This window comes from Homo sapiens, chromosome 10 (assembly GCF_000001405.40).
Source record: "Homo sapiens chromosome 10, GRCh38.p14 Primary Assembly".
Lineage (NCBI taxonomy): Eukaryota > Metazoa > Chordata > Mammalia > Primates > Hominidae > Homo > Homo sapiens.
Genome location: NC_000010.11, coordinates 125,683,243 through 125,702,850, shown reverse-complemented (window position 1 = coordinate 125,702,850; position 19,608 = coordinate 125,683,243). Strand labels below are relative to the sequence as shown.

Sequence of the window (19,608 nt, the reverse complement as noted above, 5' to 3'; positions counted from 1 at the left end):
GACTGAGGAGCAAAGTAGGTACCAGGCATATCTAGTTGGATGAACCATGTATTAGTCTGTTTTCACACTGCTATAAATAACTATCTGAGACTGGGTCATTTATAAAGAAAAGAGTTTTAATTGACTCACAGTTCTGTATGGTGAGGGAGGCCTCAGGAAACTTACAGTCATGGCAGAAGGCAAAGGGGAAGCAAGGCATGTCTCACATGGCAGCAGTACGGGGTGGGGTGCCACACTTTAAAAACCGTCAGATCTCATGAGAACTCACTATCACGAGAACAGCATGAGGGAAACTGCCCCCATGATCCAATCACCTTCTGCCAGGTCCCTCCTTTGATAGGTAGGCATTACAATTCTAGATGAGATTTGGGTGGGGACACAGAGCCAAATCATATCAAATGGGATGGATGAGCTGGGGACACTGAGAGAGGATGAGGACTGAAGTCCGGGGAGTTCATGAGCTGGCTTTGGGACATGTGCATTTTGAGATGCCTTTGGGACATCTGAGAGGGCAGCAAGTAGACACGAGCAGGTACTGCCAAGCTATGAAAAGAGGTTGGGGCTGGGCATGGTGGCTCACGCCTGTAATCCCAGCACTTTGGGAGGTCGAGGTGGGCGGATCACTTGAGATCAGGAGTTCGAGACCAGCCTGGCCAACATGGTGGAACCTCATCTCTAATAAAATACAAAAATTAGCTGGGTATGGTGGCGGGCACCTGTAATCCCAGCTACTCGGGAGGCTGAGGCAGAAGAATCGCTTGAACCCGGGAGGTGGAGGTTGCAGTGAGCTGAGATTACACCACTGCACTCCAGCCTGGGCGAAAGAGTGAGACTCACTCTCAAAAAAAAGGGCGGGGGAGAGAGGGAGAGATTGGGGCTGCAGATTTAAAATATGTAGGAGCCATCCCCATGAGAGGTAAGCCATGGAGGCGATACCTGGGGAAAGGTACCTGCCTGCCTACCTGGTAGAAATGAAACAGTCCAAGCTTTCCAATGTGGATGAGAACTTTAGAAATGAAATCACACAAGCAGTGAACTAAAATGAGACAGGCAAACCTTCTAGCAACCTTGCATCTGACATTTGTCACTGTAAACCTGCTTGTCATACACAAATCACTTGCAACCACAAGGAGGACTGTGGATCAGTTGGTCACTCTGCCCAGGTCTTTGTATGCCTGTGACTTTAAATCAGGTTCTTGTGACTTGCACAGCATTTTGTGCCGTGTATTTGTAAAGATATCTTGCCAGCATATTTTATGCTTCAGTTAATTTAGTTGACATCTAATTTAGTTGACATATAAAAATAAAATCAATTTTCAGACAAAATACCCATAAAATAAGTGAAATGCTGTAATAGGTTTCAAGAAATTAAAATGTAATATATTTAGGCTTCTATTCTAAAGCAATTTGATCTAGAATAGCAGATACTGTAGATGTAATTTTTTCCATGAATTCTTGTCAATTATATAATAAATGTTGCTACTATATATTGAGAAATTTATTGCTTGGAGTTGTTTGTCATAAAAAAATGAAAATTTTTGTTGGGGTTTCCTTTAAAATGCCAAAGAGCCTAAATATGAATACTTCGTATATTGATGTTCAGGCTGTAATTAAGCCATGACAGAGATTATTACTTTGGATGTAAACACTATCAAATTTTCATTGGGTGAGTTCTTTTTAAATTAATGTTGAGTTATGTTCTGTTTATTATCCTGTTTGCCTTACGTTTCCTGTCGTTTTCCAGTTGTCTGCTTGAATTCTGTTTTTCAATAGTGATTTAGCAACTGATAATGTATATTGATTTCAGTTTTGCTTCTAATTTACATTTGTATCTGTTTGGTTGATGTATTTGGCTTAATCATTTTATTTTTATAAGCAGTTGTACAATTTGTTAATTTAGCTAGATGATTAAATTTGGCTTCTAAAGAGTTTGTTTTAGAAAATAGTCCCTGAAGTAAATTAGTGTTTGGCATTTCCAACATGTCAAAGGAGCTGGTCTCTTAAAGATAACTAGAAATGTAACTCTGAATTCTTAAAAGTGGTTTTGTAATTTTAAACCTCTGACTATATGGAGCTGTATATTCCAGTAGGTGGTGCAAATCGACTCCATTTCAAATGGAAATGTAATTTAAACTTGTGATGTAACTGTTTTCACTGTAAAAATAATATTTCAACATGTTTCGCAACTGCAAAATTATTTTCCTCTCTTTCTAAAGGAAGCTTGATTTACCCTCTCAATGCTCATTTTTCTTATGGTTTATTCCTCAGGTATCATTCTGATCATTGTTGTTACAGGAGAGATGAGAGGAAGTTAGAGGGGCTAGAAGAACCAGGAGACCTGTTGAAAATCATGAATACAAAGAGAGGTCGTTTGCTTCTGTGCTTCAATTCTATAATAAAATGAGTACAATGTCAGTATCAGTGTTCTAATAGTTTTTATATCCAAAAGATGAATTGAATGCCATGTTTTGTCTGTTGTAAAACTTGAGGTTATTTCACTTCTAGGAGTCTGATATCCTCACACAAGCACATAAAATATGTATACAAGGATATTCACCGCAGCATATTTTTAAAATTAATTTTTTTCTTTCATCCCAGTCATATATGTGCAGCAAAGTAGGATGATTAAGAGCAGGGCCTCTGGGCAGCTGCCTGAGATGGAGGCCTTACCACGTGAGTATCTCTGTTTCCTTTTCTGCAAAATGCAGATCCTCACAGGTAGCGCTACTGCATCATGGCATTGATAGGAGGATTAAATGAGCACATATGTAAGTGTGCAAAGCATGCCTGGCAGGTCGTAAGCACTGTATCAGTGTTAACTGTACCTCTAAAGTAAAATAGCACTGAAAGGATTGCAGTGAGAGGTAGCATTCTCTTGCAGTATTCCTCCAGCCCCCGAGTATCACTTCCTGGTGCTAAGCACTCACAACCCCTCTCCACCCCTGCTCCTGACAGTCACCACCATAACTTTAAATAGTATTCTTACACAGCTATTTTTTAACCACTTTAACTATTTTAAGTGTCCAATTCACTAACATTAAGTACATCTACAATGTCATGCAATCATCACCACTATCCATCTCCAGAATGCTTTCATCTTCATAAACAGAAACTCAGTCCCCATTAACCAATAACTCACCATTCCCCTTTGTCCCCAGGGCCTGGTAACCACTACTCTACTTTTTGTCGCTATAAATTTGCCTATTTTAGGTATCTCATGTAAGTGGAATCGTATGATATTTGTCCTTTTGAGACTGGGTTATTTCACTTAGCATAATGTCCTCGAGTTTCATCCACGTTGTACAGAATTTCATTCCTTTTTAAGATTGAATAATATTCTATTGTTTTTATATGTAACATTTTGTTTCTCTTCATCTGTCGATGGACATTTAGTTTTCTTCTGCCTGTGGCTACTGTGAATGATGCTGCTATGAACATAGGTGTACAAACATCTATTCAAGTCCTTGTTTTCAGTTCTGGGCAGCTATTTTTTGATGTGTCTGTTCTTACATTATCTTTTTACTTCTAGGCACGGTAAATTAGATAGACAAGGACTTAAGCATAATCAACTCCCTGCCTTTCTACATACACTCCCAGTCCCCACTCCCACATAGCTTTGGTTAAAAAAACAGTGTTTTCTCTATCGAATGTAAGTTCTCTTACCTTCCCTGGGATGGAAGGGACGAGGAAGGAGATGGTGTTCCTGGAATCCAGGGAGAACTGGAGCCTGGGAAGAAGCAGAGGGAAGCGGAGATGACGAGCAAGACTGCACCGGATGCCAGAGCCTGAAGGAAGCAGGGAAGAAAGATGCTGGCCTTCCTCTCCTTTCTCTGCTCCATCTCTTATAGCTCAAACCAGCTTGAAAGCCAGAGGGCAAAGCAGCCCAGGCCATGCATCCGCAGGGCCCAGGAAGATGAGAATGGACCAAGGAAGGAGGCCAAATGGAGCCCACCTGCACCCTTTTCTTCCTGAACTGTCCTCTCCATCGCCAACTCCCTGCCAGTACCCATGGCCCCTGCTGCCAGCAGGAGGACACCTTCCCTGAGAGCAGCCTCACTGTGCACATGGACCTGGCAGGGAGGCTCACACACACCCACACTCAGAACGAGCACAGAAGCTTCTCCCAAGGCCAGATAGAAATGGCTTTTGGATTACCCGCCATTTGGGCAGATTATCTGCACCACTGCTTCCGTCCATTACTGAGGAGAGCCTGGAGGTATCTGGACTGTCCTTGGTGTTCTGGGATGACCTTGTGGAGAGCTGATTACAGTCTGTGTGCGGAAAAAGAAGACGTCTGCCTGCCATTCTTTTCCTCACACTGGTTCAGCGACGTTTGATCTCTGGCCTGTGGCTGGAACCCATATTAAAGAGCCTGTCATTGCTTGTGATTTTTCTTGGAAGACCAGAATTCAGATTGGAGCAAGGCTTTCCATCAGAGCTGTAGAGAATCCATATTTGCCTTTGAGCCTTCCCGGCTTCAATTTAGTACTTGAGACCCCTTCTCCATAGCACTCCTCTTCACCCTCATCCCAGCTACGTGCCCCCTGGCTGTGCTCCCCCACCCCCAAGCCATTAGAAGGGCAGCTACCAACACAGCTGTAGGTGTCTGAGCAGAAAAGAAAATGAGAGCGAGAGGCAGCCTCCAAGGAGGTCAGGACATGCAAGAGTCGGTGGATACGCCAGTAATGGGAATTCGGGGTCTTCCTGGTGGGCTCCTTGGATTTGCACAGAGAACATGTGCCTCTGCCATAGCCTCCTCTCATGTCTCAAAGCCCTGACTCCAGGACTCACTTCCAGAGCCTCCAAGCTGTACCGCTCCCCTAGCTCTAGTCCTACCCATTTCTGATGTCCTGGGCCCTTTTCTCCTTTCTTCAACCACCACTGCATTCCCACATAGGCACTATCGTTTATAGATGAGAAGCTGATGCATGAAAAGGTTAAATAACTTGCCCAGTATGGCACGTCTAATAAGCGGCAGTACTAGGGTGCAAAACCAGGCTGGCTACCTCCAAAGCTTGTGCTCTTACCTGAGGGTAACTCTGCCTCCGGGGCCATTCCTCGATGGGTTCCCAGGGCTTTGGCTACTTGCTTCCTTGCTTGCTTTCCTTCTTTTTCTTTCCTTTCTTTCTTTCTTTCTTTCTTTCTTTCTTTCTTTCTTTCTTTCTTTCTTTCTTTCTTTCTCTTTCTTTTTCTTTCTTTCTTTCTTTCTTTCTTTCTTTCTTTCTTTCTTTTTCTTTTCTTTTCTTTCCTTCCTTCCTTCCTTCTTCTTTCTTGCTTTCTTCTTTCTTTCACTTTTCTTTCTCTCTTTCTCTTTCTCTTTCTCTCTTTTCTCTTTTTTTTCCTTCCTCCCTTCCTTCCTTCCCTCCCTCCCTCTCTCCCTCCTTCCTTCCTTCCTTCCCTCCTTCTTTTTCTTTCCTTCTTTCTTTCCCTTCCTTCCCTTCTTTTCCTTCCTTCCCCTTCCTCCCTTCCTCCCTCCCTCCCTTCCTCCTTTCTTTTTTGAGTCTCCTTCTGTTGCCCAGGCTGGAGTGCAGTGGCGTGATCTTGGCTCACTGCAACTTCCACTTCCCAGGTTCAAATGATTCTTGTGCCTCAGCCTCCCGAGTAGCTGGGATTACAGACGTGCACCACTACACCTGGATAATTTTTGTATTTTTAGTAGAGACGGGGTTTCGCCATGTTGGCCAGGCTGGTCTTGAGCTCCTGGCCTCATGTGATCCGCCCACTTCGGCCTCCCAAAATGCTGAGATTACAGGTGTGAGCCACTGCACCTGGCCTGTTGTTTGCTTTCTAAGTGTTGGGAAATATTCCTGCTGTCTAAAGAAATAGTGAGGCATTAGCATTCAGGTGAGTTTTGTTTTCAAGTATGACTTATTATATAATAATAACAAATTATTCTGAATGTGCTTTTTAAACATTGTTTTACTGCACTGGAGATTGGGTTAAAACAGAGGTTAGCAATTTTTTCAGACCGAAGAGTCCAAGTGCACTGAAATCCAGAAAACATGGTCAACAAAGTTGCCAGATGAGAATGCTGATTTTTAACAGAAAAATAAACAATTGCATATGAATGATACTGATATGGGGATGATTAAGGGAATATACTGAATATGGAACCTATCAATTTTATTCTATGAAATTGAATTGGTGGGGCCTTTGCCTTTTGCTTTTTCAAAGTTTTCATAACTTCCTTACCATGCCTGTCAGACCCTAAAGGGAGTGACTGGGCCCTGTGGGTAACAGAGGAGCTGGTCTTGTCAACAAAAAGGAAACTACACTCAGGACAAGAAGGGGTCGCTTGGTCCCTGAGGTGTGCATCTGGTCTGTCTGTGCCAGGTGGAGGGAAAGCTGAAATTATAGGATGAGCGGTGGGGCTGTCGTGAAGGCCCCAGGATTTTCCAAAAGAAGTCCTTTCCCAGGAGGAACAATGGTGCTTTGCAGGTGACATCAAACCCAAAGTGGGTGGGCTGGGGTTGGAGGGTCCACAGGGACCAGGGAATTGGAATTCCCCCTCTCCTTTCCCCACCCACATTGGGGCTCAGCTTCCCACCTGCTCTCCTGGAGACAGTCAATACCAGGAGACCCTGTCTTGCAGAGGCTAAGCATGGTAGAGGACTGAGACATGCTCAGCATTGGTGGACAGCAGGGGATGGGTCAGAAACATGGGTCAGGGAGAGACATGTGGTCCTGGGCTTTGGAGGCTTTAGCCTGGACTCTGGTAGGAGTCTCTGATCCTGGGAGAGCAGAGCCTGTTTTTTTCTTTCCCTCTACCCTCCAGTGGCCCCATCTCTCTCTTTCCCACTGGAAAGAAACTTGTCTAGTATGGCACATCTCCATAGCGTCCTCTCACACTCAGCCTGGGAGGCCAAGTCTTCTTTCTTTCCTAGCTTCTCCCTCAATCTTCATTCCCTCTTAACAGCAAGAAGGAAACTTTATTGGTTGATGTGCAGAAAGGTTCAGAGGTACTGCCGGGTTCAGGTGCAGGTTCAGCTGGAGTTGCCAGAACCCAAGACCCCTCAGCTCCTCCCACAGCCTTCTCCAAGAGTTGGCCTCATTCTCGAGGCATGGGCGTGGGAAGGTGGCAGCAGAAATGCCAGCCCATGTGCTTTTAGATTCAAATCTGTCAGGAAAGATTGAGATTCTCTGCCCAAATAAGAGTCTAGAACGGAGTTTAATTCGCTCTGATTTGGGTCATGTACCCACGGCAGAAGCAAACATTACTGCCAGGGGAATGGGCTGCTCTGATTGGCTGGTATTGGAGCAAGGGCAGAATCAACTCCACTTAAGCCATATGGAATGACAATCAGGAGAGATGGAGAGACAGCTATTGTTGGAAAAAGAGGGATGCTGGATGCTGGAGAGGCAAGCCCCAAATGGCCTCCATGCACCCAGTTCCTCCTGCCTCCGAGTCCCCCATGACTGCCCTGTAAATTCAGATCTGGCCCCTGTGACCCAACCCTGGTCTGGATCACTTGGCCAGTGCCCTTGGCACCTGCCTTAACCCCTTAGGTAAGAATCTGTCAGGCTGTCTATTTACTGTAAAAATTAGCACTGGATACTAAAGAAATCATGCCAAAAGCTTTCAATAATGGAGAAGATTTATATGTAACACACACACACACAATTTATTTCTTTTGAGTCTGATTCCTGAGGGTGGAAGCTTTGAAAATTTCACGACTGTGTTTAGAGGAACCCATAAAGACACTTTAGCTGGTCATGGCCTTCCTGCTTAAAGATCTTATCAGGAATTTTACTGGAACTTGGAGGTTTATTATTACTCATTGTTTGACTGTAAGGCTTCCCTCTTAAGAGTCTGGGGTGAGGCCAAGCACCATGTCTCAGCATTCTTTAAGCTTTCTATGATTTCACATTCCATAGTGCAAGGCTTATTAAAGTGGATTCCATAGGAGCTGACAGGAAAGCTTCTCTGCCTGCCACAGGGTGGAATGACAGTGCTTCTGTGGAAATGTGGATGCGTTCCTCGGTCAGGATTTGAACCCTTGAATAGGGATCACCTATTATGCACTGTGGTATTTTAAGCACCTGACACAATTTGGAGGATTGCCGGTGGAACACGTTTTTGGAACACATGCAAATTTATGATTTGACCGTCAGCCAGTCTGGTCGTCTCTATTCTTTGCAGACCACCTCTAGTTCTCTGGGTTTTGTAGCTTAATTTATACAGCCTTCCAATTGTCTGGGTCTTGAATTGCCGCAAGACATTGATCATACATTACTTGGTTTGCCATACCTTCTTTTTAAAAAATCGTCAAATTTTGTTTCTGACCACAATACAAATATGTTCCTTATGGAAATTTGGAAACGCTCAATGAAGAAAAAAGAAATAAATAATTCTAAATATTTGTGTAATCTGCAGTTTTCCCATAATATGTGGATATATATTTACAAAAAGGATTATTCTATTTATGTATTTACTTTTCTTTTTAATTCTGCAGTTTTAGTTACTCAAGGTCAATTGTGGTCCAAAAATATTACAGTATTTTGACAGAGAGAGAAAAAACACATTCATGTAATTTTTACTATGGTATATTGTTATAGTTGTTCCATGTTATTATTAGTTGTTTTTAATATCTTACTGTGTCTAATTTATAAGTTAAACTTTATCATATGTATGTATAGAATGTATAGTACGTATGTATAGAAAAGAAAGTAGTATAAACAGATGTTCCTCGACTTACAATGGGGTTACATCTAGATAAAGTTATTGTAAATTTAACATATCTTAGGTTGAACACCATCGTACGTCCAGGAGCCTGCTGTCTGGGTATCACTTTTGCACCACTGAAAAGTTGAAAACTCACAAGCGGAATCATTCTATGTTGGGATCGTCTGTACCACGCGCGGTTTTAGGCATCCACTGGGGTCTTGGAGCATTTCTCCCTTGGATAAGGGGAGGACTACTATAAATTGTTTCAATTTTTTTCCCTAACAAATGCTGTAATGAGCATACTTAGGGATAAATCTTTGTGTGAATACTTGGGTATTTTCTTGGGGTAAATTCTCAGGAGTAGAATTGCTGGATCATAAGATATGGATATTTGTAAGGCTTTTTGGGAGCCACTGCTACCCAATTACTTTTTGCTGCCAATAGTAATTTCTTAATTCTTTGTCCTAATGCCAGGCCTGGCAGCTCCAGTGAACAGTGCCTAAAGTGAGAGCCAACCTCTGTAGGTGAGACTTCCTGCTACAGCGGCTCTTTGTTCTTTACAGACGAACTGGTCTTTCAGGGTCTATTCCTTCCCACTGCTTCTCATTCAAATGTCTCCTTACATTGGGGTGAATGCAATCTCCAATTTGAGACAGTGCCTATTCAAGAAGGCAGTGCGTCTGTCACTCAATTACTCAGCTTTCGATCTCGTGGGTTTTCTACTGGACAATCCCTGAAGGAGGGCCTGTAGGTAAGGACTTCCCTACGTGAGAGCAAGACCTTCTCTCCAAAGGCCAGTGTTAGTAAGGGCCCTGGCATTCAGAACTACGTATTCCAACCACACAGGTTAATTTGTCTAGACAATGGCTTGGTCTCTAGAAATGGCCATAAGGATTTTCCTGGGAAGTGAGCTGAGGTGTTTCAGCAAAGCAGCTTTTTAAAATTGAGGGCCAATCATTTATTATGGCCTTTTCAGATGCCAGCAACAATTGGCCAAAGTAGGAGATGCTTGCCGGAATGTCCCTGGGCCGGCCACGCAAAAGTCATAGTTATTCTGGCCAATGGGAGTGATTGCTAATTTGCTCTCAGGGCCCTAACTGGCTGATGGTACAATTACGTGCCTACTATTTTAAGGCTGCGTTTCTAGCCCCAGCCTGGCAGGCTTTCTTGAGACATCTGGCAACAATGATCAAAATGCCTCTTTTTTAAAGGAGGCTCACAATCGATTCATCTATGGACTCACAAGGACAGGCTCATTTAGTAAAGCCAACATGTTTCAAAGAAAAGTATATTTTCATTAACTAGCCTCAAAGCAGTAATTATATGTTCAGAGAACACAGTAAAAATTTATTTCTAAATATTTGGTGGTGAAAGGTTGAAGGCAGTGTGTGTGTGTGTGTGTGTGTGTGTGTCCAACATGTTGCATGTGTTTTAAATAAACCCAGCATCTTCCCCTCAAAAAGGAAGCAGGAAATACAATCGTAGACTTTGAAATTTAATTTTTAGCAACAGGATGTGTTTCTAAATACCACTAACATATCAAAAGGAGAATGTGTAGTTAAAAGCTTTAAAATTGTTATCAAAGCAATTGCAAAGCAAATGAGGTACCTTTCTTCTTCTTTTTTTTTCCCCAAGGATGGTGGTGTCTGAACATTGAAAACCAAATCTCCACTGAGGATCAAAAGCAATGGTGGTGTCTTTTTGCGTGAGATGCAGCTGAACTTGGATGCTCTCCCTGATCTGATTCACAGTTTATAATCACAGTTATCACAGAACCATTAAAAGCCTATTAACTTGAATTCCCACAATTCCTTGAGGGCAAGGGCAGAGAGAGAGCAAAATAACTTTGAATATAAATGTAACACAACATTCGAAGGGAGAGAATCTCTTTTAATTATGCCAGTGAAGGAAGATGTCTTATGGATGCATCTCCCCTAGCAGATGGCTGATGAAAGAATACACATGAAGTCTTAGGATGCTCGGGATGTTATGAAAATGAATTCTCTGCAAAGAGACTTTTAAAGCATAGGGAAGAGTGTGCAGACCTCTTCCTGGGAGGAGGAAGCGTAGAGGACTTGCTAAAATGTGTGGCTGCTGGTTGGGTTGGCTGGATGGACACTGTACCGTGGCGAAACAAATCAGCCTGAAAAGAAGCCTCAGCCACATTCTGTGGAAGCAAGAGCCCAGTGAATATTTGGGCTATTGTCATGTGAGAAATTTGATTTCATGTTTTTCCACCCTTCAGTGACTTCGCTGACATTTCCCCTAACAATGCTATTATGTGCTGTACCAGTAAGACAGTGTCGTCAATAAGCTGTCTTGTGACTTCAGATAAAATGGAATGTTCTTATCTCACCGCAGAACAATTAGACACATCAAATTACTTAAAAAAATCATACAGTAGTGAGCTGTGTGCATACCAATGACAGACTCTGTCCCCAAATCTCTGGGCCCAGCACGGTGGCATCAACACCTCCACATTGGGATGCTGGCGCTAAATAGTCCCCACATGTACTTGCACGCCTGGAGGCTGGACTTGACCTTGCCGTGCTGTTTGTAAAGGAATATTGGAATCACCTGGGGAGGGAAGGCACACATACACGCACACACAGTCTCTCTCTCTCAGTCTCTCTCGCTCTGCTGTCTGAAATAACTAATTCCAATCAATCCACCCTCACCTTAAATGCGTTCTTCCTGCATGAATTACCCACATTCACTGCCCAGCTTGATCTCGTTTCCGCAATGGATAAAGCAAATGACTCAGTCCAGAGGGAGTGGGTTATTGACTAAGTGCTTAATTAGGCGCACAGCTCTTATGTGGTCGTTCTTGTACAGTCAAAACGACTGGACCGTGGCATGGCAAAACCGTGAATTTGGTTTACTCTCATGTGCCTGGGCCACAGTTGAATCAATGGGGCAGCAATCTAAATTAAACATTAAGACAGCCACACCGCAACATGTTTATGTAACTCTGCAAAGAAACAGCGTGTGTCTCAGGATCCTCCAGGGTAAAACATTATCCACTTCCCTACTTGCATATCAGGCACACAGGAAGGTGGGTATGGTACAGTCTAGAAAGGTTTTGAGCTCCTGAGGGAAAACCTTCTAGGTAAACACAATGCAAACTGACTCTTTTGGTCCCTGACTTTGGCTTCTGAATCTTTAAAAGTTTAGCAGTACAGTAACCGCTGTCCAATTAAAGGTAGCAGGTTGAGAAAAGGCTTCAGCGCTTATCTGCAGGTGCAAGGTCAAATGTGCCCAAGGGGCACTGGCAATCCGTTGTCCTTCCCTTAGAAGAACTGAGGTGGTATTGACCTAGACACAGCCCAGGTGCCTCTCCCGATTCTATAAGGAGACGCTTCTCAAACTTTAATGAGAGCATGAATCACCTGGAGGATCTTGTTAAAGCACAGATTGTGATTTAGTAGGTCTGGCTGGGGCCTGAGATCCTGCATTTCTAATAGATTCCCAGGTGATATTGATGCTGCTAGTCCCAGGTCCACAACTGGAGCAGGGAGGTCCTTGAAGGAGGGTTCCCTTACCTTACAGCCAAAGCAAACATGAGGGGGGTAGGAAAAGAAAAAGACAGCTGATGGTTTGGTGACAAGATGCACTGAAGCCAGAGTGGAGGCTGATGGCCACAAAGAACCAGCCAGTCATCCCTGGAGTGAAGGGAAGTGTCTAGACGGGCTTTGATGGCAGCCCTATCAGCTCTCCGTTACGGTATCGTTTACTCAGCTGAGTGTGCAGAAGGCAACATGGTAAGGCTCAATGTGGTGTACATTTCCCGTTCGCCTTTCCAAGGCACACCCCATTGGCAAAAATGCCCTGGAATGTGAACAAAGAGCAAGATCAAGAAAGGACACATTGTATTGGTGGCCATCCACACGATTAACTGAGTTGATGAACCCTAGATCCCTGTAGAGTTGGAGAAAGTGAAGCCTAAAGCCAGCACTCAGCCCAAGTCTGCCTTTTATGACTTTGTCTTATTATTATCTTTGTAACAAGGCTCTTTTATGAGCTTGTGATTTCCTGCCAAGTTGATGAGATCTCCATTATGTTTTATAGTACAAAATAAGAGGATAAGAGAGGTTTTTAAAAGGCCTGCAGATCTCTTCTTCATTTAGGAACCCTGCCTGCCCTAATTCTGTCCCTGTGTGGGGTAGAGATCAACTTTCTGTCATGTTCTAAGACACTGTTCGTTTTCCCTTCAGCTGAAAAATAGATATTTATTTTGCCATTTTGCTTCACGATTCTAGAGGCTGGCATTTTCCATTTTAGTGCTCTTCATTTTGAACCACACATGTAATTACTGCTGTCTTTTAGTCTGTGTTTTCGGAGGACTAGCCCGTTCAAACTGCGAGAGGACAAAAGCAGCTGTCTTTCCAGGGAGTGAAAACAATAGCATAAAGTCTTCATGTAAACCTCAACAAACATTGAAACACAGAAGTGGAAATAGGAATAAAACTCCCAACAAGTAGAGAAACAGAAATCCAACTAAATATTTCCGCCTTTCTCGGAATTTAGAGAAAGAACAAATACGCTCAACACATCTGCTATATTCTAGTGTGAGTCTTATTTCTAAGGTGCTTTTTTTCAGAAGGCCAAAGCTCCCAGCTGATTTTATTGTTGTTGTCGCCCATCACCTGCATCTCTGCCTCCTACTGACATTGTCAGTTGGTCCAGGTCACCGAGGGCAAGGTGCCTGTCCACATTTCTCGGGCTGCCTGAATGATCTGCCTCCCTGGTCCTTCCTCCAGCCTGGCTCTCACCCATGCCCTTCTCGGTGGCATCAAAGCCCCCTTCTGGCCTCCTCTTGGGTTCTTTTTTTTTTTTGAGATGGAGTCTAGCTTTGTCACCAGGCTGGAGTGCAGTGGTGTGATCTCGGCTCATTGCAACCTCTGCCTCCTGGGTTCAAGCGATTCTCCTGCCTCAGCCCCCCAGGTGGCTGGGATTACAGGTGCCCGCCACCAGGCCCAGCTAATTTTGGTATTTTTAGTAGAGACAGGGTTTCAACATGTTGGCCAGGAGGGTCTTGATCTCCTGACCTCGTGATCTGCCCACCTTGCCTCCCAAAGTGCTGGGATTACAGGTGTGAGCCACCGTGCCCAGCCTCCTCTTAGATTCTTGAGTGAGCCAAGCTCCTCCCAACATCAGGGCTGCAGCAGTCATCAATCTGCCTGGGACACTCTCCATCTTCCTTGGTTTGCTGACGTCATTCTTCATTTCTTCATCGTCTTTCACATTCATTCACTGTCACAGGCTCCTGGAGCACCCTGGACCTCTCACAGTCATACCAATTATTTGTGCAATAATGTCTATCTCCCTTACCTCAGCTTCATGAGGTCAGTGACTGTATTTACTGCGCCTGTCACTGTATCCAGTACAATTTCCTAGGTCACAGCACTTCTTTGGGTGACCAATTCTCCAAGTTATCAATTAACCAAAAGCTTTTCTAGAAATGATTTGGACAGTTTATAGCAATTCTTGTTTTGGCAAGGATGTCAAAAATTCAGTCATTACAATGACAATGTCTTGTGAAATTTGAATTTGGGGTGTCATGAGCATCAGCAGAGTCAAGAAGTTTTGTAAATATTACAGTTAGTTTCTACCTTTCAATTTAATAGATGTTCTAACCGGGCCTGGTGGCACACGCCTGCAATCCCAGCACTTTGGGAGGCCGAGGCGGATGGATCACCTGAGGTCAGCAGTTCAAAACCAGCCTGACTAACATGGTGAAACCCCGTCTCTACTAAATACAAAAAAAAAAAAAAAAAATAGCCAGACGTGGTGATGCATGCCTGTAATCTGAGCTACTTGGGAGGCTGAGATAGGAGAATCGCTTGTACCTGGGAGGCAGAGGTTGCAGTAAGCTGAGATCGCACCATTGCACTCCAGCCTGGGCAACAAGAGTGAAACTCTATCTCAAAAAAAAAAAAAAAAAAAAAAAAAAGTTCTAGTGGGCCAACTTATCCTTCTTATCTTTCAACTGGTTTTGTCTTTCTTGTCTTGATCCAGGAATTGTTCCCTTGAGTGTGAGCAAGAGAGATACAGTTGATTTTCCATATAGTTTGCAACATAGGGTAACAAAAAATGTGCTTTATGTTATAGATGCCTGAATACTTTTCAAGATGGCAGCATACAAATGTGCTGTATATTCATGACAATTTCTACTAGTACCATATGAATCATGTATCATAATAAATAAATGCAGCTGAGTCACTTCAATTTGGTTGTTATTTGCAGAAAGAATCCAGATTCACCCTTACAAGGTGAGCCCAAAATGTGCTTTATAGTTAAGATACCTGAGTATTTCTTAGATGGTCAACATTTTACATACAAATGGATTGGCCTTCCTCATATGCATGTTTAATTGTCCAGGATTTGCAGATGTAAACATGAAAATGAATCTTTCATTTGGTAGACCGACAAACTGTAACATGCCTGCATAGGTGGCAGCTGAGTGTTTGTGGGTGGACTTGTGGGTAGGCATGTGCAGACACACATGTGAGAACATTCCTGCAAAGTCTCCCTAATTCTACCACTTCCTCTCCTGCAAAAGACAGCAAATCATTAAAACGAGGAGTGGCATGCTGCCCTGGAAATGCATGGAAGACATAGGCGCATTTACCCTGCACTATCTTTAAGAAAAAAGACTTAAAATTCAAAGTCCACAAAAACTGTCATGTCAAAAAATACACTGGACAAAACAATTTGCTGTTAATGTTGTAGGTAGTCCAGTGAAAATAATTTTTGGTTAATCAATAGTTTTGAGGTACTGGTCATTGAATGTATTGCTAAATTCATGATTTGCTATTTATAAAGAACTGATTTTTGGTGATTGCCTTAGTGCTGTGACACATGGCAAATGTGCAGTGATATTTGTTGAAGCAGAGATTGGCTCAGTGTTGTCTTTGCAGACAGTCCCTAGCTGGCGGTTTTGGACCACTACGTGCGAGCATGTGCATAAGGCTTGAGGCAGGACCCAACTTGACCCTCGGGCGTTCTCGGCCCTGGTGGTCTGAGGACCCTTGGTGCTACAGGACTTGTTTTCAGAATGGTGGGTCACAAAGTACAGCCCAGTAGTTTAAACCTCTGAAAATAATAACAGCCACCATGAGCATCCCTACTCCAATCTGTGGCTGAGAAATAAATCCTAGCTGAAGAGAAGTAGAATTTCATTTTTTCTGGCCAGGTTTCTTTGTTCAGTTTTGATTTTCCTGGACAAATTTGTTAGAATTTTAAACAATCATTCAAAAGGAGAAAATTGGAACATATGTTAACCAGCGGTCATATACCTTGTTTAACAGAGCATAAGACTAAATACAGAGGAGATGCGAAACATATTTGAAAATGAAGTTTCAGTTCTAAGAGATTTTCTGCTCTATTGGTTGAGACAAAGTGAATGTGTGTGAAATACTGAGTTGGAAATGGCCGCTGTTTTTAGGTTTTAAATGTCGTCATTGTCTTCCTCCCTCCTTTCTGACTTTAGCTTTCATCTTAGGATGCAGGAGAACCAGAACTCTGCCCTGGCCCACCGCCTTCATCTGTGTGGTGTTGGTGGCACATGATGTCCGTCATTTGGCCCCTGGCCTACAAGAGCTCACCTTGTTGAAGCGCTAGGCATTTCAGCAGGCCCTGTTTTGTGCAGGTTAAGGAAAGGGAATTAAAAGGAATCCTCTTATAAAATCACTGCTCAATAATTTAACAGCGTCAAGCAAGTGCATTAAAACAAAACCTGTTTTATGCTGGCATGGAACTTGGCCTCAGTACGTCTGGGTTCTGCTGTGGGCTCTGGCATATATTAGCTGTGTGACTGTGGGTGAGTCACTTCACTTCATGGAGGCTCGGTTTCCTCGTCTGTAGGTACGACAATTACTAACACCTGCTTCGGCTTCAGTCCGCATCCCTGCAGTGAAACCAGTGACAGACGAGACTGTAATGAAGGGTCTCCTCTCAGAGATGTGGGCAGGGTTACAGGAACTGACAAGGAATGGTGCAGCTTCCTGGGACCAGCAAGAGCAGGAAGCCTGTCTATCCCTGGGCCAAAGGGGTAGGGAGAGGGCACTGTGAGCGGGGAGAACTGTGGCTGTGGGGAAGGGGCTGCCCGGCAGGAGCTATGGACATAAGTAGACAAATACAGCCCCTTCCAAATTCTGGCCTGGTAGGGATAGAGCCTGGGGGGCCAGTACTTTGAACCTGTGATGTATCAGAATGTGTTATGTACATCTCTTCCCAATTCCATGTTCAGTGATGTCAGTAGCTTGAAATCCACCATGGTGGAAGTATTTATGCATGGAAATTGGCAGATGCCACTACAAATCAGGCTGCGTTTCCTCTGGAGAGCTGGTTGTGAACCATTTATGAGCACAACACTGTCTATCTCCTTCTGCCCTTCTGATTCCCACTGCTATTTCCTATGGGATGAATCCAACCAGAGCCAAAGCATGGGCTGGGCGCAGTGGCTCACGCCTGTAATCCCAGCACTGTGGGAAGCCGAGATGGGGGCGCATCACCTGAGGTCAGGAGTTCGAGACCAGCCTGGCCAACATGGTGAAACCCTGTCTCTACTAAAAATACAAAAATTAGCCAGGTGTGGTGGTTGGTGCCTGTAATCCCAGCCACTTGGGAGGCTTAGGCAGGAGAATCGCTTGAACCCAGGAGGCGGAGGTTGCAGTGAGCTGAGACCGTGTCATTGCACTCCAGCCTGGGCATCAAGAGTGAAACTCTGTCTCAAAAAATAATAATAATAAATTCAAAAGCAAAAAGAGCCAAAGCATAGGGGAATAGGGGATACAGCCTTTACAGCTTAGACTCCAGACTGCAGAACAGGGAATAGATGGAGAATGACTGGGAGAGGGGTACACACAAAAGAAAGATAACCAGCACACGTCTTAGGGTTGTCGTGAAAGTTATATAAAACAATGAATATAAAAGTACTTAGTAAACATTGACGTGCCTTTCATGTGTTCTTCCTTAGTTTTGCAAAGTACGTTAGAGTTTGCAGAGTATTTATAAGGTGCTATGTGAGCACAATGCTGAGAAGTAGACAGCACTGTGCATCGTCTTCTGCACCCTCCCCCTGCCCTGGCCAGGCTAATTGGAATGAAGTTAGGCTTATTCTTGTTAGAATTTGGGGAATTAAATGATCAAATTAAAGATAAGAGAACACCCGCTGGGGTGGCAGAACCTTCAGGCTGTCCTTTGATTTTGCTTCTCTGTCTCTTCCATGGTAATTAAACTTTCGGCTGGGCAATCATCCCACCAGGACAATGCCTACTTTGCAGCTCCCTTTACAGTGAGGCCTGACTATGTGGTTGAAGTCCTGGCCCACGAGAGGAAGTGTTGTATGGCAGCTGCCAGGAAACTTCCTTAGGAGGAAGCAGCTGAGCCAACTGGGGTTGGCCCAATATGATCCATGGGGACACGCCCTTTCCCCTCTACTTCCCTTTCTGCATTCTGCTGCCTGGAACGCAGATGCCATCTGGGGCCAAGTGATGACAGCTGCCCCCTGGAGCTGGTGAGTGGTGGTAGGTGGGAGGGAGCCTCATCTCTGAGAATCCTGAACAGCAGAGCCACCATATCGAGCCTGGACTACTTCCCTCTGGACTTCACTACGCAGAGAGAATAAATGTCTATCATGTTTAAGCCCCTGTTAGTTCGGGTTTCCTGTCCCAGTCAAATTTGTTCGTAATCAATATAGTGCGTCTTGGCAAGGCTGTGAGACGACAGAACTCCCTTGCACTGCTGCTGCTGGGAGTATTTCTTTACACCTGGGCTTTGGAGAGCAGTGGGCAATGCCTGGTAAAGGTGAAAAATAGTGTCTGTTGCACTGGGTTTGTCAGCAGGTAGCAGAAATCCTGGAAGGGTTTACTCCACACACAACAGTATTGCCTGGTACAGCAGCTCTGCAACACCAAAAGAGGTGGCCCACCACCTTTTCCTCCTCTCCTTACCATGTGGCTTTTGGCATCATAGTGCAAGAGGACCTGTGCATCTCCGGTGTCACATCTAAGGGCCACCTCTGGCCCTTCAGTGCTGGCAGTGGATAAGGTCCTCTATCACTACTACAGCAACTCTCCTTGGAAAACCTAGGAGGGTGACTGGAGGAGGAAAGGGTGGAGGACACAATTTCTGAGTGAGAGAGCAGCTGGACAGGTTGTCCTGCATGTGTTTACTCTCGTATTCACACGGAGTAGCCAAGAGAATTGGCAAGACACAACATTAAAAAAAAAAAGAAAGAAAGAAAAGCAGAAAACACCTTACTGAGTAGAAGGGAGGCAGGACGTGTGTGTCCAGGCCCCGAGAGAAACGCCAGATTTCACGAGCAGCCTTTGCAGCCCTGGGGATGCCAGGTGGCCCTTGGCAAGGCTCATGAGCTCTGGAGCTGGCCCATGACCTTGCTGGGACTTGTGGCATCCCATCCATTGCTGTATGTCCCTTGTTTCCTATTTGTAAATGTTGAAGGTTGTCGTGGAGAAAAAATAAAAACAGGTGAATGTTTAGTTTAGCACAGCACTTGGCATATAATAATTATTCATGAGTGTTACTTCCTCATGGTCTCAATGCTGTGCCAGGCAGGTAAGAGTGGCTGTGAGTGAGTCCTGAGGTTGGGTCCGAGCTGAGACACAGAGGCTGCCACAGAAGGAGATGGTAGGCAGCGTGGGTCCTGGGTGCAGCAGTGCCACTGATGCAGACAAGGTCACCCCCAGCCTGGGACTCAACTTACTTCTCTGAAAACTAACAGGTTGGAACATACAGTTGCCAGGGGGACATGCAACTCAAACATTATTGGTTCAAAAATTGAGAGGGTACAAAATGTTTGCCATTACCCCCAAATCATCTTGTCCTTACCTGTCTGAGCTGACCACAGGGCTTCCTCAGCTGGGACCTGGTGGCTCTTTGCCTCTTACCCTGGGGAGTCACAGCTGCAAGGAACCAGT

General features: G+C 44.3%; 1 long non-coding RNA gene across 1 annotated transcript in view; it reads right to left on the bottom strand.

Annotated features, from left to right (window-relative positions):
* The window catches only part of LOC283038 (uncharacterized), a 26,435-nt gene extending 6,827 nt beyond the window's left edge, over positions 1-19,608 (bottom strand). Inside the window, exons 1-3 of the long non-coding RNA NR_033848.1 lie at positions 19,520-19,608; positions 16,404-16,574; positions 3,664-3,727 (exon numbers count right to left, since the gene is read on the bottom strand). This is a non-coding gene — a long non-coding RNA (uncharacterized LOC283038). The remainder of the gene's footprint in view (positions 1-3,663; positions 3,728-16,403; positions 16,575-19,519) is intronic.